Here is a 22,029-nt window from a genome sequence, read left to right on the forward strand (position 1 = left end):
CTGAGACTGCAACCCTGGGAGTCCAAGTAATGGGCACTTTGTCTAGGCTTAGTAAGCAGGTCAAGGAAGTGGATCAGAGGAGCAGTGAAAGCCCGTATGGGCAACTTCTAATTATGGACCAGCTTCCTATAGCAACCCCATGTAGAAGTAAGATGATTTGCAGGAGCAGAATATTCCATCACCAGTGCTCTTCAGCTTGGGTGTGGAAGCCCAGTTCATATCCCCGGGTGAATTACACGTGCCCACCCCACAGGCTTTTTAGACAACTAGAGGACCAAAGAGGAAGCGAATATTGCATATGGGCTCTCGGCTGGCTAAATAGAAAAATGAAAGATATGTGGACCTTTCATTTTTGGAACACTTCATACTGTTGACATACAATATAAATAAAATAACTGCAAAAGAAAAATAAGAGAGATGCAGTGGAGTGTTTACATTTTTCTCTAGAATAACATTCATAATGACGATGTTGATTCTGTTAAGTAAGAATTATAGGAGGCCATTGTTTTGTACTGAGCTCCTGCACTAGGCTCCAACAGACCAGACTAAAAATCAAAATGGATTCACTCATGCTGGGGTTTCAAAATTGATATTTTGTCCTTTAATACCTCTATTTTCCCCCTATTGGTTATTTTGTGCTATCAGAATTTTGTGCTATTTTTTGGCAGGAGATGGGAGGATGGTCAAAAGTCAAAATTACAACAAAAATAGTTTAAAGATCTTAATTGGCTTTATTTGTGATTCTAGAATCAGGCAACACTTCACCCATAAAATAGAAAAGTATTCCAGGGAGCCCAGCAGAGGAGGTTGGGCTTACAGACAGAGAAGGGCTGAAAACAGCAGATGCAATGAGCAAAGAGCATCTTCATTAATTTTCAAAGTTACTTTTTTGTGGTAAGGCAGGAATATAGAGACAGAACAATAGAAAATAACTGATGAGTGAACATCAGGTTACTTCAGGCTAACTTTGTAATGTAAGGATTAAAGCAGAGGGAACTTATGCCAATTAAAATTTTAAACTGGCCTGTTTGGGAAATTGGCCATTATTTCTCTCTCTTGATTTCTCACAAGGTCAGATAGTGACTCCATTTTGATTTTTAGTCTGGTATGTTGGGGTCTAGCACAGGAAATTAGCCATATATATATACTTTTTTTTTTTTTTATACAGGATCTCCTTCTGTTGCCCAAGCTGGAGTGCAGTGGCACAATCATAGCTCACTACACTCTCAACCTTCTGGGCTCAAATGATTCTCCTGCCTCAGCCTCCCTAGTAGCTAGGACTATAGGCGTGCACCACCATGCCTGGCTAATTTTTTTTTATTTTTATAGAGACAGGGTCTCACTATGTTGCCCAGGCTAGTCTCAAACTCCTAGGCTCAAGCAATCCTCCTGCCTCAGTTTCCCAAAGTGCTGGGATTGCAGGTGTGAGTCACCATGCCTGGCCCTCCTATAATTTTTATTTAACAGAAGTTACCAAAGAATTAGCTCTCAAAGGGCTCCTGTTAGATGCTTTTGCTAGCAAGACTTTTCAAATGCTTAAGGAATAGCAGTGTCTACTGTTACATAAATTATTTCAAAAACAGAATTTAAAAAATGCTCTTCAACTTATGTTGTAGACTGGAATAACTGATTCCCAAATCTACCAAAGCTTTAACAACGAGAAAAGAAAACCACAAACTGGGGGTGTCTACAAGAGCCAGAAAATAACATAAATGGGTGCAGCTGATTGGGTATGAAATGAAAGGAAAAGGTGGGAGCTGCAGGCACTGGTGAGTGTGCACCCCTTCTTCAGGAATTCAAACTCAAATGCTTCAAAACCCTGTGCTGGTCAAATAAACAAGGCCTACAAGTTACCTCTGATTTTGCAGCTTCTGGTATATCTCCATTACAAACATAGATGTAAACATTCTTAGGCCGGGCATGGTGGCTCATGCCTGTAATCCCAGCACTTTGGGAGGTTGAGGTGGATCCCTTGAGCCCAGGAGTTCGAGACCAGCCTGTGCAACATAGTGAGACCCTGTGTCTACAGAAAATTTTTTAAAAATTAGCTGAGCATGGTGGTGCACCTGTGGTCTCAGCTTCTCAGGAAGCTGAAGCGGGGGATCACTTGAGTCCAGGAGTTCAATGTTACAGTGAGCTATAATCATGCCACTGTACTCCAGTCCAAGAGACAGAGTGAGACCCTGTCTCAAAATAATAAATAAATAAATAAGACCAGGTGCGGTGGCTCACACCTGTAATCCCAGCACTTTGAGAGGCCCAGGCCAGCGGATCATGAGGTCAAGAGATTGAGACCATCCTGGCCAACATGGTGAAATCCCATCTCTACTAAAAACAGAAAAATTAGCTGGGTGTGGTGATGTGTGCCTGTAGTCCCAGTTACTCGGGAGGCTGAGGCAGGAGAATCGCTTGAACCCGGGAGGCAGAGGTTGCAGTGAGCCAAGATTGTGCCACTGAACTCCAGCCTGGCAACAGAGCGAGATTCCATCTCAAATAAATAAATAAATAAATAAATAAATAAATAAATAAATAAAATATTAGTAAATCCAATTGAACTTATACTACAACTTAAAGAAAAAAAACAGCTGCTAATACCAAGTAACATTCATTCTAGGGATGCAAAAATGTTTTAATATGTGGAAATTATTTTTAAAATATTTCATAATCTCATTAGGTCATGCTAGAAAAACCCATATGATCCTTTCACTAGGTGTTAGAACTTCCTGACAAGCAGGGACCCAGGGATCCAGAGCTGGCGTGGGTGTGGACTGGCAGAGGGTACACGCAAAGGTAGCATCCAGAGGGAAAGCCAGGATCAGGGCCAGCAGACAGCCTAGTAAAGTGTCAATCAGAAGGAACTGGATGGATAAGCAGAAAGCAGATAAAGGCCACGGGACAGAGCCCGAGGAGATGCTTGGAGGCACAGCCTGGAGGTTTTCCTGCAGGGACCTCCATGCCTGCTGGTGTTGGACCAAATTCGGACTCTAGCTGCTGCAAATGCATTTGAAAACATTCAGCATACATGCCTCATAAAGTAGCCCTAAAAATGAAGACTATAAGGATCATTTCTTCACATAAGAAAGAATATATCATGCAGGCAGCCCAATTATGACTAAAGACTGCTTTCCTATTCTGCTTTTCTGAAAACCATTTTGTATTTTCAAGACTTTTTACAATAAAAGAAAAAAGCACAATGGAACCTATTAGAGAACCCGAAGAGGAGACAGAGGGAAACAATGATTCTTGCAATTTATATGGTGAAATCTAAGCCAGTCTATGCATGCTATACCTCAATAATCTGGGATTTTATTTTTAATTATTTTTTAGAGACAACTTGCCATGTTGCCCAGGCTGGTCTCAAATTCCTGGGCTCAAGCGATCCTCCTATCTCAGCCTCCTGAGTAGCTGGGAATTACAGGCACCACAATAACCAGATAACGAATTTGTTTAAAAAAAAAAAAAAAAAACAACAGTGGGCTGGGCTCGGCGGCTCATGCTTGTAATCCCAGCACTTTGGGAGGCCGAGACAGGTGGATCACAAGGTCAGGAGTTTGAGAATAGCCTGGCCAACATGGTGAAACCCCGTCTCTACTAAAAATACAAAAATAAGCCGGGCATGGTGGCGCGCACCTATAACCCCAGCTACTCGGGAGACCAAGGCAGGAGAATTTCTTGAATCCGGGAGGCAGAGGTTGCAGTGAGCCGGGATTGTACCACTGCACTCCACCCTGGGTGGCAGAACGAGACTCAAAAAAAAAAAAAAAAAAAAAAAAAAAAAAAAAAAGCCAGGCGCGGTGGCCACGCCTGTAATCCCAACACTTTGGGAGGCTGAGGTGGGCAGATCATGAGGTCAGGAGATTGAGACCATCCTGGCTAACACGGTGAAACCCCGTCTCTCCTAAGAATACAAAAAAAAAAAAAATTAGCCAGTCGTGGTGGTGGGCGCCTGTAGTCCCAGCTACTACTTGGGAGGCTGAGGCAGGAGAATGGCGTGAACCTGGGAGGCAGAGCATGCAGTGAGCCGAGATCGCGCCACTGCACTCCAGCCTGGGCAACAGAGCAGACTCCGTCTCAAAAAAAAAAAAAAAAAAAAGAGAGAAATGGGGGAAAGGAAAGGAAAGGATAGCCACTAAAATGTTAATGATGATCATCTTAAGGGGTGGGATTGTAGGTGACTTTTACTTTTTTTCTTATTCGTTTAGTGTTTAAATGTTATATAATGGATATTTATTACTTATATAATCAGTGAAAAATAAAGCTATTTTCATTGTTGTGGGGGGAATTCTTGGCAGGTAGAAGTCCCTAGAGGATCTGATTTAATGAGCACACAAGATCAATATTTAATTAACATATCAATTGCCGGGATGTCAACTGATGTTTTCCAAAATCATTGAAGTGTAGGCTCTCTTAAGTAGCCAAACTGTCGTCGGAAACATAGTTTACAATTCTCCCATTTAACAAACGCGGAGGAACAGAATGATTACAAATGCTAAAGCGCAGAAGACGATTAAAGGAGGTTATTTATGTACCATCAAATGCTTGTGTATCCTGTACACATCAGTTTAGAATTCTCTCATCAACCCAACCTTGTGGCAACTTCCAAACCCCTCCATCATGGCCTTCTAACTTTTCAAACTTTTTTTTTTGTAAGCCACTTCTCTTTCCAGACCTCTCTGTAGTGGTTCCTAACGTCTTCCCTTTAAACCTTCTAACTTGTGTTTGCTATTTTTATGACTTCCTCCTCCCAGTGCCTGGCTTCCCCAGCTGGGGATTCACCTTGCTTTGGTGGCCACTGTTTTGCTCTTCTCGCCTTCCCTCTCTCCATGGGCCTGCCAGGCTTAGGGAAGGCCGCAGGTGCTTAGACCTTGTCCAATGCGGTGCTCATTGAACACGCCGGGTTCTCAAACAAATGTTAGGGACAGCTGGTTAGACGGGAATCTGGGCCTCCCCTGCTTGCTTTCCGCAACATTTCTTGAGCATTGCTGGGTGTCCAAGGCAGGGCGAGATCCCAGAGCAGTCACGACCGGATGTATGATTGGTGCTCACTGCACAGTGCTGGGGACGCACAGGGAGGATGCCACTGATGGTGTAGGGGGTGGGGACTTGGCAGAGGGAGCAGCATGTGTCGAGGTCTACTGGTTCTCCAAGTTTGGTCCCAGAGCAAAGGCATCAGCATCACCTGGGAACCTGCTGAAAATTCTAATGCTTAGGCCTCACTACCGACCTACCAAAGCAGACACTCTGGGGGAGGGAGGAGGGGCACTAAAAATCTGTTTTATCAAGACCTCCAAGAGACTCCAACACACGCTAGAGTAGTTTGAGAACCACGACTCTGGGAGCGGCCTGAGGATGCTTAGGATGAGCGCAGAGCGGAAAGGAGGATTCGTGAAGGCTCTCTGATGCCAGTCAAGGGGTTAGACTTTGCCCCGCAGGTGCGGCCTCCAGGTTTTTAAGCAGACGCCTGTGGCTCTCACACGCCCTCTCCCAAGGCGGCGTCTCTGGGAGCCCTGGCGTTCCCTGGGCCCCCGGGACCGAGAGCTTACCCGCGTGGGACTGAACTCGCCCACGACCCCCGACACCAGGCAAGAGAGGTTGTGCCGCAGACCCTCCACTCCCCAGCACCAGGCGCTCGCCGTCCAGGTGGAGGGGAGCACACGTGGGAGCCAGGGGCACCGGCGGAGACACGAGCGCAGAAGGCACGCGCTCAAGCCCACGCCCGCGACTGCCGGGACTGAAGGTGTTGCGAGCCCCGGCTCCACCCCTAGCCTGCGGTGCGCCGTGCTTTGGCCCCGCAGGCCCCGCCCCCGGCCCCGCCCCGGCGCGCGCCCGGCCCGCCTCCCTAGGCGTGGAGGAGGGGGGGCGGCTCAGCCCCGCGCCCGTGCGCGCGCTCGCGGCCGGGTTGCAGGGCTGGGCGCGCGCCCCGCGTCCCGGGCAGGAAGATGGTGGCGAGCGCGCGAGTGCAGAAGCTGGTGCGGCGCTACAAGCTGGCGATTGCCACGGCGCTGGCCATCCTGCTGCTGCAGGGCCTGGTAGTGTGGAGCTTCAGCGGCCTGGAGGAGGACGAGGCGGGCGAGGTGCTCCGACGGCCGGGCGGGCGGGCAGGCCGGGCGCGGGGGCGCGCGGGGTCCTGGCGGGGCTGCGGGCGGCCCCAGCCGGGGAAGTGGGGCACGGGCCGCGTGCGTGCGTGCGGGGCGCCGGCGGTCGCCCAGAGCGGAGCATCCGGCCCCCGGCACTCCCTTCCCCAGCAGGCCTAGGGAGCTGCGCGCGGGGGCAGTGCGTGACCTGGAGACCCGGGCCCTGGTGGATTGGGAGTCGGGCGGGGGGAGCAGGTCATGCTAGGGTGGTCTCCGGCCAAGGGAGCGATGAAGGTCAGGCGCGGCGAGCGGGGCTGGGAGGCGGGGCTGGGCCCGAACCTGCTCGGAGGTGGGGAGCCCCAGGCCAAACTTTCTGAAGTTGGGAGGGGGCGGGGATATGCGCGCCGTGGGCGGAGGAGTAGGGCCAAGGGACTCAGGGCGTCCTTCCCCAGCTGAGCCCGAGGGGCAGCGGCCGGTGAGGAAGGGGAGCTCGGGGGTGGAATTCAGGCCTGGGACAAAGTGTGTACCCGGGAACTGAAGGAACAGGGAGTGACGCCGAAGGAGAGAACTGGAGTATTCCCGAGGTGTGGCTTCCTCAGCCGGGGGTTTGAAGAACCTGGATGGGTCTCCGGAGGGCAGGGAGAGGAGGAACTGAGCTGGTGAGTTGGCCTCAGGACCTTAGGGAATTAGGGAGGGGCCCTCTGGCTTTAAGGGAATGGGGACTGTAACAGAGCCCCAGCCGCAGAGCAGGGGCAACCAACAGCCGTCTCAGCCCCCAAGTCCCTGCCTCGAGGGTCTTTCTCCCTCTTCCCCGATGTGGTTTCAGCGGGAGGCTCAGACACCTCAGCGGTGTGGTGAGGAAGGGTCCATTGGGTCTGGGTTCGTGCTGCGGAGATGGAGAGGACAGGCCACACCACAGCCCTAAGCTGTGGCCCAGAGGTCAGGACCTCCCTGCCCCCAGCGCCCCTGTTCTGCTGCCTCCAGGGCTCCGGGTCAGAGACTCTATCTGCTGCTGTCCTCCGGCAAGCCCCGATACCCGCGACCCCTTACCGCATCTCGCCAGTCTGGAAGGCCTGGTGTGGAGACAGAAGAGCTGCCCTTGCCTTTTTTTGGGAGAACCCAGAGGGTGGGATGGTGATGGGGGCTGGAACAGAGTCACATGAGACCATAACTCCAAAAGGAGGTGGGGGCGGGGGTGGGGCTGGCTCCGTGACATCCGTGGGGTGTAGACCTACAAGTAGGACAAGCAAGTAGGAGAGTGTTTCAGGCCCAGTGTAAGAAGACTGTTTGGGCAGATGGGACATTCCAAGATGGAATGGGCTGCCAAAGCAGTTAGGGAGCCCTCTGACCCTGGAATATGTGACCACTCTGGGCTACCGCCCCCATCCCCCACCACCTCCTCCTCCAGCTTCCTGGCTGAATGAATAGGGGAATCCTGGGCTGGAATGTTTGAAAAAGCTTGTGCGGTCCAGGCACCCATTGCTGCTTGGACCCCCTCAGCTGCTCCCTCACCTGACTCTGGGGTTGCCAGGCAGCATAACGGGGTGCATGGGAAGGTGAGTGCTGAAGCTGGACCACCCACTTCACCACTCTCTTCCAGCTCTGACCCTGAGAAGACCACCAGCAAATCACTTTGCCTCCTCCCTTATCCTTATCAGTATCCCTCCTCAAGATGGGGATAATAATGGCACCTCCCGTGTTAGGTGATTATAAAGATTAAGTGAAAATGATGCCTGTGAAGCACTTGCAGGAGTTCCTGGCACATGCTCAGCTGTCAGTAAATAAATAACTCTTATTATCCCAGCACTGTGCATTGGGAATACGATTCATTCATTCATTCATTCATTCCACAAATAGGTGTGAAGTCCTACTTTGTACTAGACACTGTGCTAATACTGGGGATACAAAAATAAAATAGATGAGGTCTCTGCCCTCATGGACAGGTAATCTACAGAGAGAAACAGACAGCGAAAAGGAATTTAATAGAATTACAAAGGGGTTGGCTTAGATCAGGGGGTCAGGAAAGGCTTCTCACAGGAAGAGGTGGGCAGGAGAGTTCAGGCAGAAGGCCTGAGGAGAATGGGCTTAGCTGGGCACCCTTGAGGAATGGACAGGAGGGTGTGGTGCTTTCCCTGAAAGAAGGTTCCATTCTGTGCGGCTGAAAGGACCAGAGCAAGGGGCAAGGGTTTTATTCTAAGTGCAGTGGGAGAGCACTGAAGGGGTTTAAGCAGCACAGGATTCAGTGTGCATTTAAGACGTGCACTCTGCCCATCTATGGAGAGGCTGAGAGTGGATCCCAGGGATGGTCACGAACCTCCAGAGAGCCACTTTATAGTTTCCAAAGCTTCCACAAACACCATCTCACCACTTGTTTTAAATGCAGCCCGAGAAGTCAAAGGAGGTGGGGTATGGGGGGAGCATTTCTGTGTTCACCCTTTCTGTGACTCAGAGAAGGATTCTAAGGTGGAGCTACAGAGCCAGGAAGTGGCAGAGGATTTTAATCGCCTCCTTGGAGGAGAGGAAGGAGCCTCTGAGGCCAGAATGTATCCCAGCCAGAAGTCAGAGGACCATTCCCTACCCTCAGTCATCAGAAGGGCTCCTGACCTCAGGGGCTGCTGGGGGCAGCCTGTGAGGGGCACAAGGCTGGGGCTGTGATGACGATGCTCCTTGGACATGCCTGGAAGGGATGGAGGTGGGGGCTGACTGCCCACCAGGGCCTCTGCTCCCTCACTGCTGCCTCCTCATCCCCCAGCCTCCTCTGGGATTGTCCTTCTCAGGGTCAGCCAGCTCCCACTGCAGTGCAGGGACCAACATGCCCATCTCCTCCCACATCCTGGCCCCCACCACAGCCAACCTGGCCCCGTGCCTCATGCCCTGCCCTCCTGACCAGCTTCCTAACTCACTGATACTGGCTTCCACTCGGAGAGCCTACAGCTCTCTGCCATCTACCCACCTAAGCTTGGGAATGTCTTTCTCTGCTTGTGCTCTGTAGCCAGCTCACATGTCACCAGGCTGATGCACACTCAGCTCAGTGGGGCTGCATTTACCTTTCCTAGGGATTCCCCAGCCTGTGGTGCCCTCCCCAGTGTGGGTAGAGAATAGGGTCTGCTGCCTCCTCTTGCAGGTATCTCTTCTCGGATGGGAATGGGCGCCCCCAGCTCCCACTGGCCACCTTTAAGAGATCAGAGGGCAACCGGGCACTGTGGCTCATGCCTGTAATCTCAGCACTTTGGGAGGCCAAGGTGGGAGAAGCGCTTGAGTCCAGGAGTTCGAGACCAGCTTGGATAACATAGCAAGACTATCTCTATTAAAATAAATAAAATAAAAAGATCAGAAGGCTGGCTGGGTGCTAGGCACAGAGGGCATGGATGTAGGCATGGGGCTCTGGCCTGAAGGTAGCTGTCAGCCTGACAGCATGAGGTTCCTGATGTGCCCATACTGGTAGTGGGTAGGGTGTGGGTAGGGTAGTGGGTAGGTTGGGGGAAGTCCTGGGGAGGTGAGGAGCACAGAGAACCCAACCCAGCCGAGTCCAAGATGTCCAGGATCTTGGGTCTCTCTTGACTTCACGTTTGACTAATTTCCTCCTCCCATCTGAGTAATCATAATGATAAAGATAGCAGCATTGGGCCAGGTATGGTGGCTCACGCCTGTAATCCCAGCACTTTGGGAGGCTGAGGCGGGCAGATCACTTGAGGTCAGGAATTTGAGACCAGCCTGGCCAATATGGTAAAGCCCAGTCTTTACTAAAAATACAAAAAGTTGCCAGGCATGGTGGCACATACCTGTAATCCCAGCTACTTGGGAGGCTGAGGCACGAGAATCGCTTGAACCTGGGAGGCAAAGGTTGCAGTGAGCTGAGATCACGCTACTGCACTCCAGCCTGGGCGACAGAGTGAGACTGCGTCTCAAAAAAAAAAAAAAAAAAAAAAAAAGTACCAGTACTTACTGAATGCTGTGCCTATGCCAAAAGCTTTGCATTCATTCATTCATTCATTCAAAAAATACTAAGGCCAGGCACAGTGGCTTAGGCCTGTAATCCCAGCACTTTGGGAGGCCAAGGTTTGTGGATCACTTGAGGTCAGGAGTTCGAGACCAGCCTGGCCAACATGGTGAAACTCTGTCTCTACTAAAAATACAAAAAATTAGCCAGGCATGGTGGTGCGAACCTGTAATCCCGGCTACGTGGGAGGCTGAGGCACAAGAATCGCTTGAACCCAAGAGGCAGAGGTTGGAGTGAGCCGAGATTGCACCACTGCACTCCAGCCTGGGCAATAGAGTGAGACTGCCTCAGAAAAACAAACACTTACTGAGTGTGTACTACAGCCAGACACTCTCCTAGGTGCTACGACTATGTCAGTGAACAAAACAGGAAAAAAGCCCTGCCCTTGGGGAACTTACAATCTTCTGAGGAGAAAGACAAATTAAAAAAACAGTATAAATAAATAGTAGGATGAGAGGAAATATTGTGCGATGGTGAAAAGCAGAGGAGGAGGGAGGGCTGGCACTGTAAATCCAGTGGTCTGGGTGGCCCTACTGAGAAGATGCCATCTGAACAAAGAATTGAAGGAGGCAAGGAGTGTGAGCAGTGGGGCTATCTGGGGGAGGGTTTGCCAGGCACAGGGGATAGTGGGTGCAAGGGTTGGAGCCAGGAGTGCCAGGGGGGATGAGGGGACGCAGAGAAAACCACTGTGGCTGCAGGAGAGTGAGCATGACAAATTCCCAGATGAGGTCAGAGAGGCCTGGGTGGAGAAGGGGGCATCCAGACAGCTCATGGAGCCTCTGTAGGCTCCTGTAAGGGCCTTGGTTTTTATCCTAAGAGGGGAAGCCACTGGAGGTTTGGAGCAGGGGAGTGGTGAAATGGGATTTTAAGAGTTGTAACAGAAACACCAGCTGCTGTGATGAGAACGGAATTTAGGGGAACAAGAGTAGGAGCTGGAAGACCAGGGAATCCAGGCAGGGATAGTGAGGGAGGTGTTGAGAAGGGATGGCATTCCACATGTATTCTGAAGGTGGCCCCGATGGGATTTACTGATGGAGTGGATGTGGGGTGTGAGGGAAAGAGAGTCAAAGATGACTCCTGGCTGGGCGCAGTGGCTCACATCTGTAATCCCAGCACTTTGGGAGGCCAGGGCAGGTGGATCACGAGGTCAGGAGTTCAAGACCAGCCTGGCCAACTTGGTGAAACCCCATCTCTATTAAAAATAAAAAATTAGCCAGGCATGGTGGCATGTGCCTGTAGTCCCAGCCTCTCGGGAGGCTGAGGCAGGAGAATCACTTGAACCCAGGAGGCAGAGGTTGCAGTGAGCCAAGATTGCGCCACTGCACCCCAGCCTGGGCAACAGAGCAAGACTCTATCTAAAAGAAAAAAAAATGATTCCTAAAAGTTTTTGGCCTGAGCATCCTGAAGGATGGAGATGTCATTAACTGAGATGGGGAAGATGAAGTAGGAGCAGGTTGGGGTCGAAGAGCAGGAGGTACTTTTGGGCTTGTGGCTTTGAGAGGTCTATCGAGCTCCCATGTGAGATGTCAAGGAGGCTGGTAGTTAAATGCCTGAACGTTCAAGGGAGCTATCCAGGCCAGAGAGGTCAATCTGAGATTTGGGATGGAGTTCAGAAACCCAGAGACTGAAAGTCACTTAGGAAGTGAAGGTGCTAGGACAGGAAGGGCCCCCAGATGTGCCCTGGGAAACAAGGAAGCACCAAGAAGACCATAAGGAGTGGCAGTGGAGAGAGGAGAAAAGCCAGGTGGGTATCCTGGAAAGCAAATGCGGAGGGTGCTTCAAGCAAGACAGAGTGGTCCATTAAGTCACGCTGCTGAAAGGCCAAGAAAGAAGAGGACTTAGTCCTGGAGAACTTGTGAGCATGGAGGGGAAGGCCCGTGGGAGAGGGTTTACAAGGCTGGAGACGGCTCTCCCTAGCTGCAGTGTCTCATGCTCAGTTGTTACTCCTTACAGCTGGGGGAGCATGCTCAGAGAAGTTAGGGAACTGCTGGTGAGTTGGCAGAGCTAGGCCCAGAGCCCTGGAGGCTCTAGAGTGTTCACATGGTGGCCCCTGTTCCTCCGTCCATTCTACATCTCATCCATCAGACACCAGCTAGGTGTCCGTGTGTGCCAGCTGCTCTGCTGGGCCCTGGAGAGATGGAGCTGACATGTCTCTCATCAAGGAGTTCACTACTAGAGGAACATCCAGGGCCTTGGAGCCCAGCCCATTCCACTGCAGGGCAAATGGAATGGCTGCATGCCAGGGGCCTTGGAGCTGGATCTGAAAGCATGGATGGGATTTGGTCAGGCAGGGCAAGTAGGATGGGGGAACGGAGGAGGAGGTGGCTGGACATGCTGTTCAGTCACCACCAGGCCATCTAGGGAAGTGCCTGGATTTGAGGAGAGGCAGCAGGTACCAGAGCACTTAGAGCCAGGAAGCAGGGGCGCAGCAGCGGTAGAGGCGCCCCGCTGCAGGGATCCCTTCAAGGAAGAACCTGCTGCACATGCAGCGAGGTGACAGCCTCCAGCTGTGGGCACCTTCAGGCCCTGCTTCAGCTTTCAAGCCAGGGACTGAGTGTGGAGGTGGCTCAGGGCTCACCAGCTCCAGGCAGTACATGTGCCGGAGTTTTCCCAGGAGCCGGCCAGGACTTCCTCGAGGCTGTGCTGGAGGTGGACGCTCTTCTTGCCCCTCTCCTTGCATGGCCGTCTCCTTTGCGGTCCAAAGCCTTTCCCTGCCAGCTCCTGCCCCATCGTTCACAGGGGTACCCGCAGTGAATCTCATGCCCTCTCACTCTGTCTTGATCTGCTTCCTAGAGGACCTAAGCAGTATTGGGGTCTCAGGCTTCACCTCCATCATCCCCCATGGGCACTCCTCCTTCGCTGTGAGGTGGCCTCAGTCTTCCCACATGGAAATGCTTTGGATTCATCTGGAAGTTAGAGTCTTCTGAAGACCACTGTCTCCTTCCAGCCCTCGGTGGGAGTGCTGGGTCTTAGGTGGACACTTGTACCCTCGGTGGGGTCTTTGCACCCTTCCCTTGGGACACACGTAGATATTTATTTTAACATCTGCTGAAAAAGGAAGTGGTATCTGAGTCCAGAACAGAAAACCAAGCACACTGCCATGTAATCTGAGAGCCAGTGGGGGACGGGGGTGTTGGTATGATGGAGGGAGGCCCAGTGCGCCCTCAGTGGCTGGCCAGGGAGGTGCTCCCATGGTGGTACTGATTGTGCGGAGTCCTTAGGTGAAAAGCGCTTCTCTGGGTAAAAGGTGGGCAGGAACATCTAGGTCTGAGGGTGCCCCCAACCAAGATGGAACTCAAGGAACAGGAGGAGGTGAGGGTCTGCCCCAGTGATGTGTCTGCATCTCTCTTACAGAAAGGAAGGCAGAGGAAGCCACGGCCACTGGACCCTGGCGAGGGTTCCAAGGACACAGACAGTTCAGCAGGGCGACGGGGCAGCACAGGCAGAAGGCATGGGCGCTGGCGGGGCCGTGCTGAGAGCCCAGGAGTGCCCGTGGCCAAGGTGGTACGGGCAGTAACCAGCCGGCAGAGAGCCAGCCGGCGGGTCCCACCTGCCCCACCCCCGGAAGCCCCAGGCCGCCAGAACCTGAGTGGGGCAGCAGCTGGGGAGGCGCTGGTAGGGGCAGCTGGCTTCCCACCACACGGAGATACAGGGAGCGTGGAGGGCGCCCCCCAGCCCACGGACAATGGCTTCACCCCCAAGTGCGAGATCGTGGGCAAGGACGCACTGTCTGCACTGGCCCGGGCCAGCACCAAGCAGTGCCAGCAGGAGATCGCCAATGTGGTGTGCCTGCACCAGGCTGGGAGCCTCATGCCCAAGGCTGTGCCCCGGCACTGTCAGCTGACTGGTGAGGGACAGGGGTGCTCCAGCCCTTCCCAGGCGGGGGCAGGGGGGTGGCATGGCCCGGATCCTCACCCCTATCTCTCTGAGGAAGAAAGAGCCAAGGGGATCCTACCTCCCTGCCTAAGTCTTCATCCAGTGTACTTACTAAGTGGCAGAGGCAGAGTGGGGACCCACGAGCATGGAGCTCCAAGTCTAGGTTTCTTCGGAAGGCAGGCAGCTCCCTCTTCCCATCTCACCCCCACCCTGTGACCTAGGGTGGGCCTCGCCAACGCCTGTCCTCTGCTCTCAGGGAAGATGAGCCCCGGCATCCAGTGGGATGAGAGCCAAGCCCAGCAGCCCATGGATGGCCCCCCGGTGCGAATCGCCTACATGCTGGTGGTTCACGGCCGCGCCATCCGCCAGCTGAAGCGTCTCCTCAAGGCCGTTTATCACGAGCAGCACTTCTTTTACATCCATGTGGACAAGGTACTGTGGTGGGGAGAGGCCAAGGGGTCTGGGATGAGCAGAGCAGAAACAGAAGGTTGCAGACAGACAGAGTCTCTGACCTGGCCCAGGTAGCCTAGGAGGGAAACTGAGGCCCTGAACAGGGGAGTGGCAGCACGAGCCAGCTCAGCCGCTTAGGGGCTGGAGCCCTGCCCTGTGCTTTCCTCGTCTTGTGTCCCTTCACTCTGTCCTGGGGTGGGATTGGGGATGGCGATAACACTGGAGGCTAGCTGAGTGTCTCCTCCCCACCAGCGTTCCGACTACCTGCACCGGGAGGTGGTGGAGCTGGCCCAGGGCTATGATAACGTGCGGGTGACGCCCTGGCGCATGGTTACCATCTGGGGCGGGGCCAGCCTCCTGAGGATGTACCTGCGGAGCATGCGGGACCTGCTAGAGGTGCCTGGCTGGGCCTGGGACTTCTTCATCAACCTCAGTGCCACTGACTATCCAACCAGGTGTGGGGATGGGGCTCTGAGTCCTCTGCATGGGAGGGGACCCCTGTCTGGGCACCTGGGGTTGGAGGGCTTTGGTGGACCTTCTCTGCCCCATAAGCGTAACTCTGGGATCCGCCCTGCTCAGACATGGGCCCCTGGGCCCCAGCTATGTTTTAGGGGAGGGGTTGGTGTAAGATGATCTAAGAATTGAGCATGATAGGAGATGGGGAGGAGGAGGAGCCAGAGGTCTGTACCTGGTGTTCTGGGTCAGACAGCAAGGGGCAGAGGAAGGATGGGGTGGTCTTCCTCAGGGGCCTCTGGTGCTCACCACCCCAGACATCAGCCAGGGGTAGGGCACATGGCCAGCCAGCAATCAGGCAGAGAAGAAAAGCCAGAAGGTCCGCTCTGGGCCAGTGACTGAGCAACTATCTCATGTGGCTGCCTGTCACCCCATTCCTTCACCAGGACCAATGAGGAGCTGGTGGCATTCCTATCCAAGAACCGGGACAAGAATTTCCTCAAGTCACATGGCCGGGACAACTCCAGGTGAGGGGGTGGGGAAGGAGGCCCTGGCCCCAGAGTCTTGTCCCAACCCCTCCCACACAGTTGGGCTCGGTGGCTCCAGCCCTGGGTTTCAAAGCCTCCACACCAGTCACAGGTTGAGGAGTGTTGGTTGCCAGGCGGGTGAAAGAGCTTAGACCCCACCCTGCAGGATCCCCAGCCATGGCCTCTCTGCTGCCCACAGGTTCATCAAGAAACAGGGCCTGGACCGGCTCTTCCATGAGTGCGACTCACACATGTGGCGCCTGGGCGAGCGGCAGATCCCAGCAGGCATTGTGGTGGATGGCGGTTCTGACTGGTTCGTGCTGACACGCAGCTTTGTGGAGTATGTGGTGTACACAGATGACCCGCTTGTGGCCCAGCTGCGCCAGTTCTACACATACACACTGCTCCCAGCCGAGGTGGGTAGCCCAGCAGGCATGAAGGCCAGGGAGGGCGTGGGTTGGGCTGCCTGCAGCTCACCTTCCACTCTCCCTTGCTGCTTGCAGTCCTTCTTCCACACGGTGCTGGAGAACAGCCTGGCCTGTGAGACCCTCGTGGACAACAACCTGCGGGTCACCAACTGGAACCGCAAGCTGGGCTGCAAGTGCCAGTACAAGCACATTGTGGACTGGTGTGGCTGCTCCCCCAACGACTTCAAGCCACAGGACTTCCTCCGGCTGCAGGTGCTTGCCCGAGGCCCCAAGGCCCCTGGCTAGGTCTTCTCCCCTGGCTTTTCACCAGGAAAATGGCAGGGTGGGCCAGTAAGAGAATCTGGGGGGCCACGGCCTGCAGCAACCCTCAGGGGTCTGGGGCTACAACAGCAGCAGGAAAAGCCGCAGGAGGCTGAGCTCTAGGCAGTGCTGAGGGGCCAGCCCCACCATGCCCTCTGGGGCTTCCAGAGCCCTTCACCCTCCTTGCCTCTCCCACTCCAGCAAGTCTCCAGACCCACCTTCTTCGCCCGGAAGTTCGAGTCGACTGTGAACCAGGAGGTGCTGGAAATCCTGGACTTCCACCTGTATGGCAGCTACCCCCCCGGCACGCCAGCCCTCAAGGCCTACTGGGAGAACACCTACGACGCGGCTGATGGCCCCAGTGGGCTCAGTGATGTCATGCTCACTGCTTACACAGCCTTCGCCCGCCTCAGCCTGCACCATGCCGCCACTGCTGCACCCCCAATGGGCACCCCACTCTGCAGGTGAGACCCCCTTCTGACATACAGCAGGCCCTTGGGGTGTGGTGCCCTAGGGGGAGGCCAACCAGAGAGTGACGTCCCCTGCCCACAACAAGGCCCCAGTCTGAAGCAGGGAAAAATGCAAATACCGAAAAGACGGCTAGAGCCAGGCATGCAGGTGCTGTGGGGGTGAGATCTGGGGAAAGGAAGTGCCTGGGGATGGGACTCCCCAGAGCCCCCTCCCTGGGACTCCAGGCCAAGTCAGGTGTGCTGATGGCATCTCCCTTTCTCCCTGCTGGCACCTTAGGTTTGAGCCCAGGGGCTTGCCGTCCAGCGTGCACCTGTATTTCTATGACGACCATTTCCAGGGCTACCTGGTGACGCAGGCGGTGCAGCCCTCAGCCCAGGGGCCGGCAGAGACGCTTGAGATGTGGCTGATGCCCCAAGGGTCGCTGAAGCTGTTGGGGCGCAGTGACCAGGCCAGCCGGCTCCAGAGTCTGGAGGTGGGACAGGTCCCCCACTTGCTTTCTCCCAACCCCCACCCAGACTTGGGGTAGTGGGAAGAGAGGGACAGACACCAAGGGAGGGGTAAGGTTATTTTTCCCAGTCATGGCAGCCATGGTGATGCCCCCATGCAGACATCCTGTGTCACCCCCCAGCCTGTGCACACTGAGGAGCACCTCCTGGTTGGGGTATGCAGAGGACATGCAGGGAGCAGGGAGGGAATTATCAGTTCCACTACAACACAAGCCCAATCTTCCAGACTACAGAGATTTCGCCTAGAGGGGCAGGGACATTCGAGTTGGGCCATGAAACTACACTTCTGAGTGGCTCCTCATAGTCTTTTTTTTTTTTTTTTTGAGACAGTCTCACTCTGTCGCAGTGGCACAATCTCGGCTCACTGCAACCTCTGCCTCCCAGGTTCAAGCGATTCTCCTACCTCAGCCTCCCGCGTAGCTGGGACTACAGGCGCGCGCCACCACGCCCAGCTAATTTTTTTTTTTGTATTTTTAATAGAGACGGGGTTTCACCATGTTGACCAGGATGATCTCGATCTCCTGACCTTGTGATCCACCCGCCTCGGCCTCCCAGAGTGCTGGGAATACAAGCGCAAGCCACCGCGCCTGGCCCCTCCTCATAGTCTCTTTCTCAGAGGCTTTGGCTTCATGTGGGAATGGTCTCTGGGCAGGACTTTGAACCTCATCCCTGCCGTATTGTCCCCAATAAGGGGGACTGACCTCCACTGCCTAGCAGTCAGAATGGAAGCCTAGAACGAATCTCAGAGCTGGGAGAGATATTAAAGGTCTCCTAGTCTGACCCCTTCATTTTGCAGATGGGGAAACTGAGGCCCAGAAAGAGACAGTGACTGGCCTGAGATTACACAGTGAGAGGCAGCTTCAGAGGAGGGAGAAGGACCTTTCCCCCACACTCCTGCCCAGCTGCCTCTCTCTCTACAGGTTGGCACTGATTGGGACCCCAAAGAGCGTCTTTTCCGGAACTTTGGGGGGTTACTGGGGCCGCTGGACGAGCCTGTGGCCGTGCAGCGCTGGGCCCGGGGCCCCAACCTCACAGCCACAGTGGTCTGGATCGACCCAACCTATGTGGTGGCCACATCTTATGACATCACAGTAGATACGGAGACTGAGGTCACGCAATACAAGCCCCCACTGAGCCGGCCCCTGCGGCCAGGGCCCTGGACTGTTCGACTCCTTCAGTTCTGGGAACCGCTGGGTGAGACCCGCTTCCTTGTGCTGCCCTTGACCTTCAACCGCAAACTACCTCTCAGGAAAGGTAAGCGTGCAGTTCTCAAATGAGGCCCAGAAGCCAGACAGAATAGGACTCGCCAGAGAGGTGACCTCAAGAAGCCAACCATCAGAGCTGACTCCCATCCCTAGAGTCAGGGAAGCATGGAAGGGCTGGGGCCTTCATCTTCTTTCCTGTAGCATGCAGGGTCCTGCACTGCAGTGTGGTGGAAAAGGGAGCTTTACAGTCATGCACACTTGGTTTGGAACATAACTCTCACAAGTTCATTGGCTTTTTGTCCTTGGAAGTTACCTGGCCTTCCTGGGCCTCAGTCTTAGCACGTGAAGCTGGAATAGTACACCTATCAGGGACCTCCTGGTTCATGCAACACAAATCCACTCAACCTAGCTTGAGTTAAAAAGGGGAGAAGACTGGAAGAATGCAGAGGTCTCCTTCACAAAGCTAGGAAATGTCTCAGGCCTCACTGTGAACCAGAGGTGCTTTCTCCATCTCTCTGGGGCTATCTTGTTCCTCATCCTGTCCTGTCTCTATGCATTGGCCTCAGGCTCTGGCTCCCCATCCATGGCCTCTCAGTGCAACAGACACTGACCAGAGACTTTTAGTCCCCAGGTTTCACATTCTTGGGACAGCAAATCTGATTGGCTATCCCAGTCCACTGTCTGGCCAGGTGGGCAGGGTCATGTGGCTCTCTGCCCATTTGGCTGAGGCTAAGGGAGCAGGCTCTGAACAGAGACACAGGCTGGGCAAATTTCCTGCAAGGGAGGGCCTAGTATAAGTAACTCCCCCTGGGAGCTATGAGGGATGAGCCTCTGGAGGGAAAGTGGCCGGTATGCAGGAGGTGATCAATTGGTAGGTGTTTCCTTCCCCCACCACGTCCTATCACAAGAAGGTGGTTAAGAGGTGGGGTACCCTAGAGGAGGAGGGGGTGCTGGTGGGGCTGCAGCAGATCCAGGGCAGGCAAGCTGTGTCCCCCGCACACCTGGACCTCCCAGTCAAGGGAAGAATGGCAACAATGCACAGCAGGTAGGGACAGGGGCTGCGCCTCAAGGACAAAGTCAGAGGAGGTGCTCTAAGCCAAGGGGACAAAGCTGGCCATTGTCTGTGCATGAAGAGCTGAAGTGCCCGAGTACAGGCTTCTGAGGGCTCTAGGAGCCACCAATGATGGTCAAGAAAGGGTATGGGACACAAACCAGACTGTTCCCTTTTCTAAAGTGCCTTGAACCCACTGCTTTACTGCATCCTAAAGTTGGGAATCTAAGGCTTACTGCCTTGATTTTATAAAACTCAGTTTTATAGGCACAGAAAGTCCCTTGGATTAGCCCAAGGTCATTCAGCAAGCTGTGACTCAGAAGTAGGGCTGTGACAGGAACTGGGGTACCCAGACCCAACTCCTGGGTCTGGCCTCCACGGAGTCTGTTGCAGGGGGTGTGCTTACTGCCTGCTCTGCACCCACAGATGATGCCAGCTGGCTGCACGCAGGGCCACCCCACAACGAGTACATGGAGCAGAGTTTCCAGGGCCTGAGTAGCATCCTGAACCTGCCTCAGCCGGAGCTCGCGGAGGAGGCTGCCCAGCGGCACACACAGCTCACAGGCCCTGCGCTCGAGGCCTGGACAGACAGGGAACTGAGCAGCTTCTGGTCCGTGGCTGGACTGTGTGCCATAGGCCCCTCTCCCTGCCCCTCCCTGGAGCCCTGCAGACTGACCAGCTGGAGCTCTCTGTCCCCCGACCCCAAATCAGAGCTGGGGCCTGTCAAAGCAGACGGGCGACTCAGGTAGCAGGGCCCCAGCCAGTACCCGTGGAGGACCCGGGAAATTGCACCTTACAGACAGTGGAGGGGTGTCCCCTCCCACAGGCAAGAACCAGAGGCCCAGGCTGCACACCCATTTCAGCCATCAAGAACCCACACAGACGGCAGGGAAGGTGGACACAGTATGAACTACTGCTGATGTCTCTGTTGGGGATCAGAGGGCTGGCGGGAACGCGAGAAGGGCACCAGCAGCATTCCACACCCAGCTCTTCCTCACCTTCCTGTCTAGTTTGAATTTCTTTTTTTTCTTTTTTTTTTTTTTTTTTTAATTTAAAAAGGAAAATGGGTGGTTGGGAGAGAAACTAGAACAGAAGATGTGCAATAGGGCTCAGAGCAGCCCCAGGAAGTGGGCCATGTCTGTGGGGAGCAGGGGCTTGCTGAGCCCACCTGCTATTGTTCTGCACGAGGCTGGGCCTGCCTCACTCTCCAGGGCCTCATGCCCCATTCTGGGCCTGTGGTGCTCGTGGCTGAGGCTCCACAGGGCTGCAAGTGCCCTGCCAGGCTCTAAGGCCCGAAGAACAGGTGATATCGGGGGCGCTGCAGAGCTGGGCTCTAGCAGGACAGTTCTTTTGTAGCCAGGGGACCCTAGAAGTGGGGTGGGGCGGCTCCAGGGCTTTCCAGCATACCCTGCCCCTGGATGGGAAAGGCAGGGTCAGGGCCCACTGAGACCCATGCAGAGTTTCCAGGTGTGCACTGGAAGTGAGGTCACATGAGCAGCGTGGGAAGAAGACTCTGTCAAGACTCTCAGAAGAACCTGGAGTAATTGTGCCTGAAGCTCAGCGTGAAGTCTGAAATATGCAACAGAAGAAATATATCTCTATCTCTCTACTCTGGGCTCTGTGTTTTTCCTCCTGGGTGTCAGGAAGCCATCACCATTCATTGGGCCTTCTCCAGAAGTCTTAGCTGGTACTTTGGTAGCCTTGAGAAGGTAAAGATCTCATTCCTCCAGATTAAGAACAGTTTAGAATCCACCCAGAGGGACTCAAGAACCCATCTAGCCTGGGTGCAGGGGTTCACGCCTGTCATCTCAACACTGGGAGGCTGAGGCAGGAAGATTACCTCAGCCCAGGAGTTTGGGACCAGCCTGGGAAACAGTGAGACCTCGTCTCTACAAGAATTTTTTTTTAATTAGCCAGGCGTGGTGGCGCACATCTGTAGTCCCAGCTACTCAGGAGGCTGAAGCAGGAGTTTGAAGCTGCAGTGAGCCAAAATTGCACCACTGCACTCCAGCCTGGGTGACAGAGTGAGACCCTGTCTCAAAAAACATCTAATCCAGCTCCTTTTTCTGAGGGGTAAACAGGCCCAGAGAGGCTCAAAGACTTCTTCTTTGCCACCCAGCAAGCCAGGGGACCAGCAGGACCTGAGCTTAGTTTGAGAGCCCTGACCCAGCACTCCCACCCCCACCACCAGGCCAGGCTGCAGCAGGTGCTGGCTTCTCTATCCTTGGCCTTAGCAGGGTCCATCCTAGAAGACTGGCCCTGCCACATGGGGCACCTTCAACAGAGGCAATCCCAGCCATGGCCTGGTCGTTATGATTGGAGCTTTTTCTTTTCGGGGCAGGAGCAGCAGCAGCCTAGGTCCCTCGTCACTGTCCTAGGACTCATGTTGAAAAGGGTTGTCCATCCTCCCTCCCTTTCCCAAGCCTCCTCTCCCCCTCCCACTCTCCTACCATTGACAGCCGGAGCTCGGTATCAGTCCTTCACAGCTTGCTTAATGTGGGAGCAAGGGTGAAGGTTTCTAGACCTCTAAAGTCACCCTATCAGCCAGCCACACTGAGCTCAGCTTGGGGAACAAATTCCTGCCCAGGCTGCCACATGTCAAGTTCTCCTAGTTGCCAGGAGGGGGCACTCCTGACAACCAACCGATAACAGCACTGGGGTTTTTGTCAGCTGCCGTGGTGCTAACCA

The 22,029-nt window shown here is 54.2% G+C and overlaps 1 protein-coding gene across 4 annotated transcripts, besides 4 other annotated features; it reads left to right on the forward strand.

The window, feature by feature from the left end:
• Positions 5,712-5,911: a silencer, noted in NCBI's record as "silent region_8694". NCBI's record gives its function as "represses an Ori minimal core promoter by ATAC-STARR-seq in GM12878 lymphoblastoid cells {active_cell/tissue: GM12878}" and the evidence as "EXISTENCE:reporter gene assay evidence [ECO:0000049][PMID:35858748]".
• On the forward strand, positions 5,925-20,984 carry XYLT2 (xylosyltransferase 2). 4 transcript variants are annotated; one of them, NM_022167.4, is made up of 11 exons: positions 5,925-6,074; positions 13,429-13,921; positions 14,207-14,382; positions 14,653-14,855; positions 15,300-15,380; positions 15,580-15,796; positions 15,884-16,060; positions 16,310-16,572; positions 16,856-17,051; positions 18,006-18,339; positions 19,768-20,984. In NM_022167.4, exons 1-11 carry the CDS (start codon positions 5,940-5,942, stop codon positions 20,088-20,090), a joined length of 2,598 nt encoding a protein of 865 aa, NP_071450.2. In that variant the 5' UTR covers positions 5,925-5,939; the 3' UTR covers positions 20,091-20,984. The 4 variants fall into 4 exon arrangements, 3 of the variants coding, with proteins under 3 accessions (NP_071450.2, XP_005257629.1, XP_047292478.1); XM_005257572.5 differs by lacking the exon at positions 5,925-6,074 and adding an exon at positions 6,176-6,733; XM_047436522.1 differs by lacking the exon at positions 5,925-6,074 and adding an exon at positions 6,749-11,818.
• Positions 5,972-6,071: a silencer, noted in NCBI's record as "silent region_8695". NCBI's record gives its function as "represses an Ori minimal core promoter by ATAC-STARR-seq in GM12878 lymphoblastoid cells {active_cell/tissue: GM12878}" and the evidence as "EXISTENCE:reporter gene assay evidence [ECO:0000049][PMID:35858748]".
• Positions 6,142-6,231: a silencer, noted in NCBI's record as "silent region_8696". NCBI's record gives its function as "represses an Ori minimal core promoter by ATAC-STARR-seq in GM12878 lymphoblastoid cells {active_cell/tissue: GM12878}" and the evidence as "EXISTENCE:reporter gene assay evidence [ECO:0000049][PMID:35858748]".
• Positions 7,047-7,341: a silencer, noted in NCBI's record as "tiled region #10047; K562 Repressive non-DNase unmatched - State 2:TssF". NCBI's record gives its function as "represses a minimal TATA promoter and a strong SV40 promoter by Sharpr-MPRA in K562 cells {active_cell/tissue: K562}" and the evidence as "EXISTENCE:reporter gene assay evidence [ECO:0000049][PMID:27701403]".

This window comes from Homo sapiens, chromosome 17 (assembly GCF_000001405.40).
Source record: "Homo sapiens chromosome 17, GRCh38.p14 Primary Assembly".
NCBI lineage: Eukaryota > Metazoa > Chordata > Mammalia > Primates > Hominidae > Homo > Homo sapiens.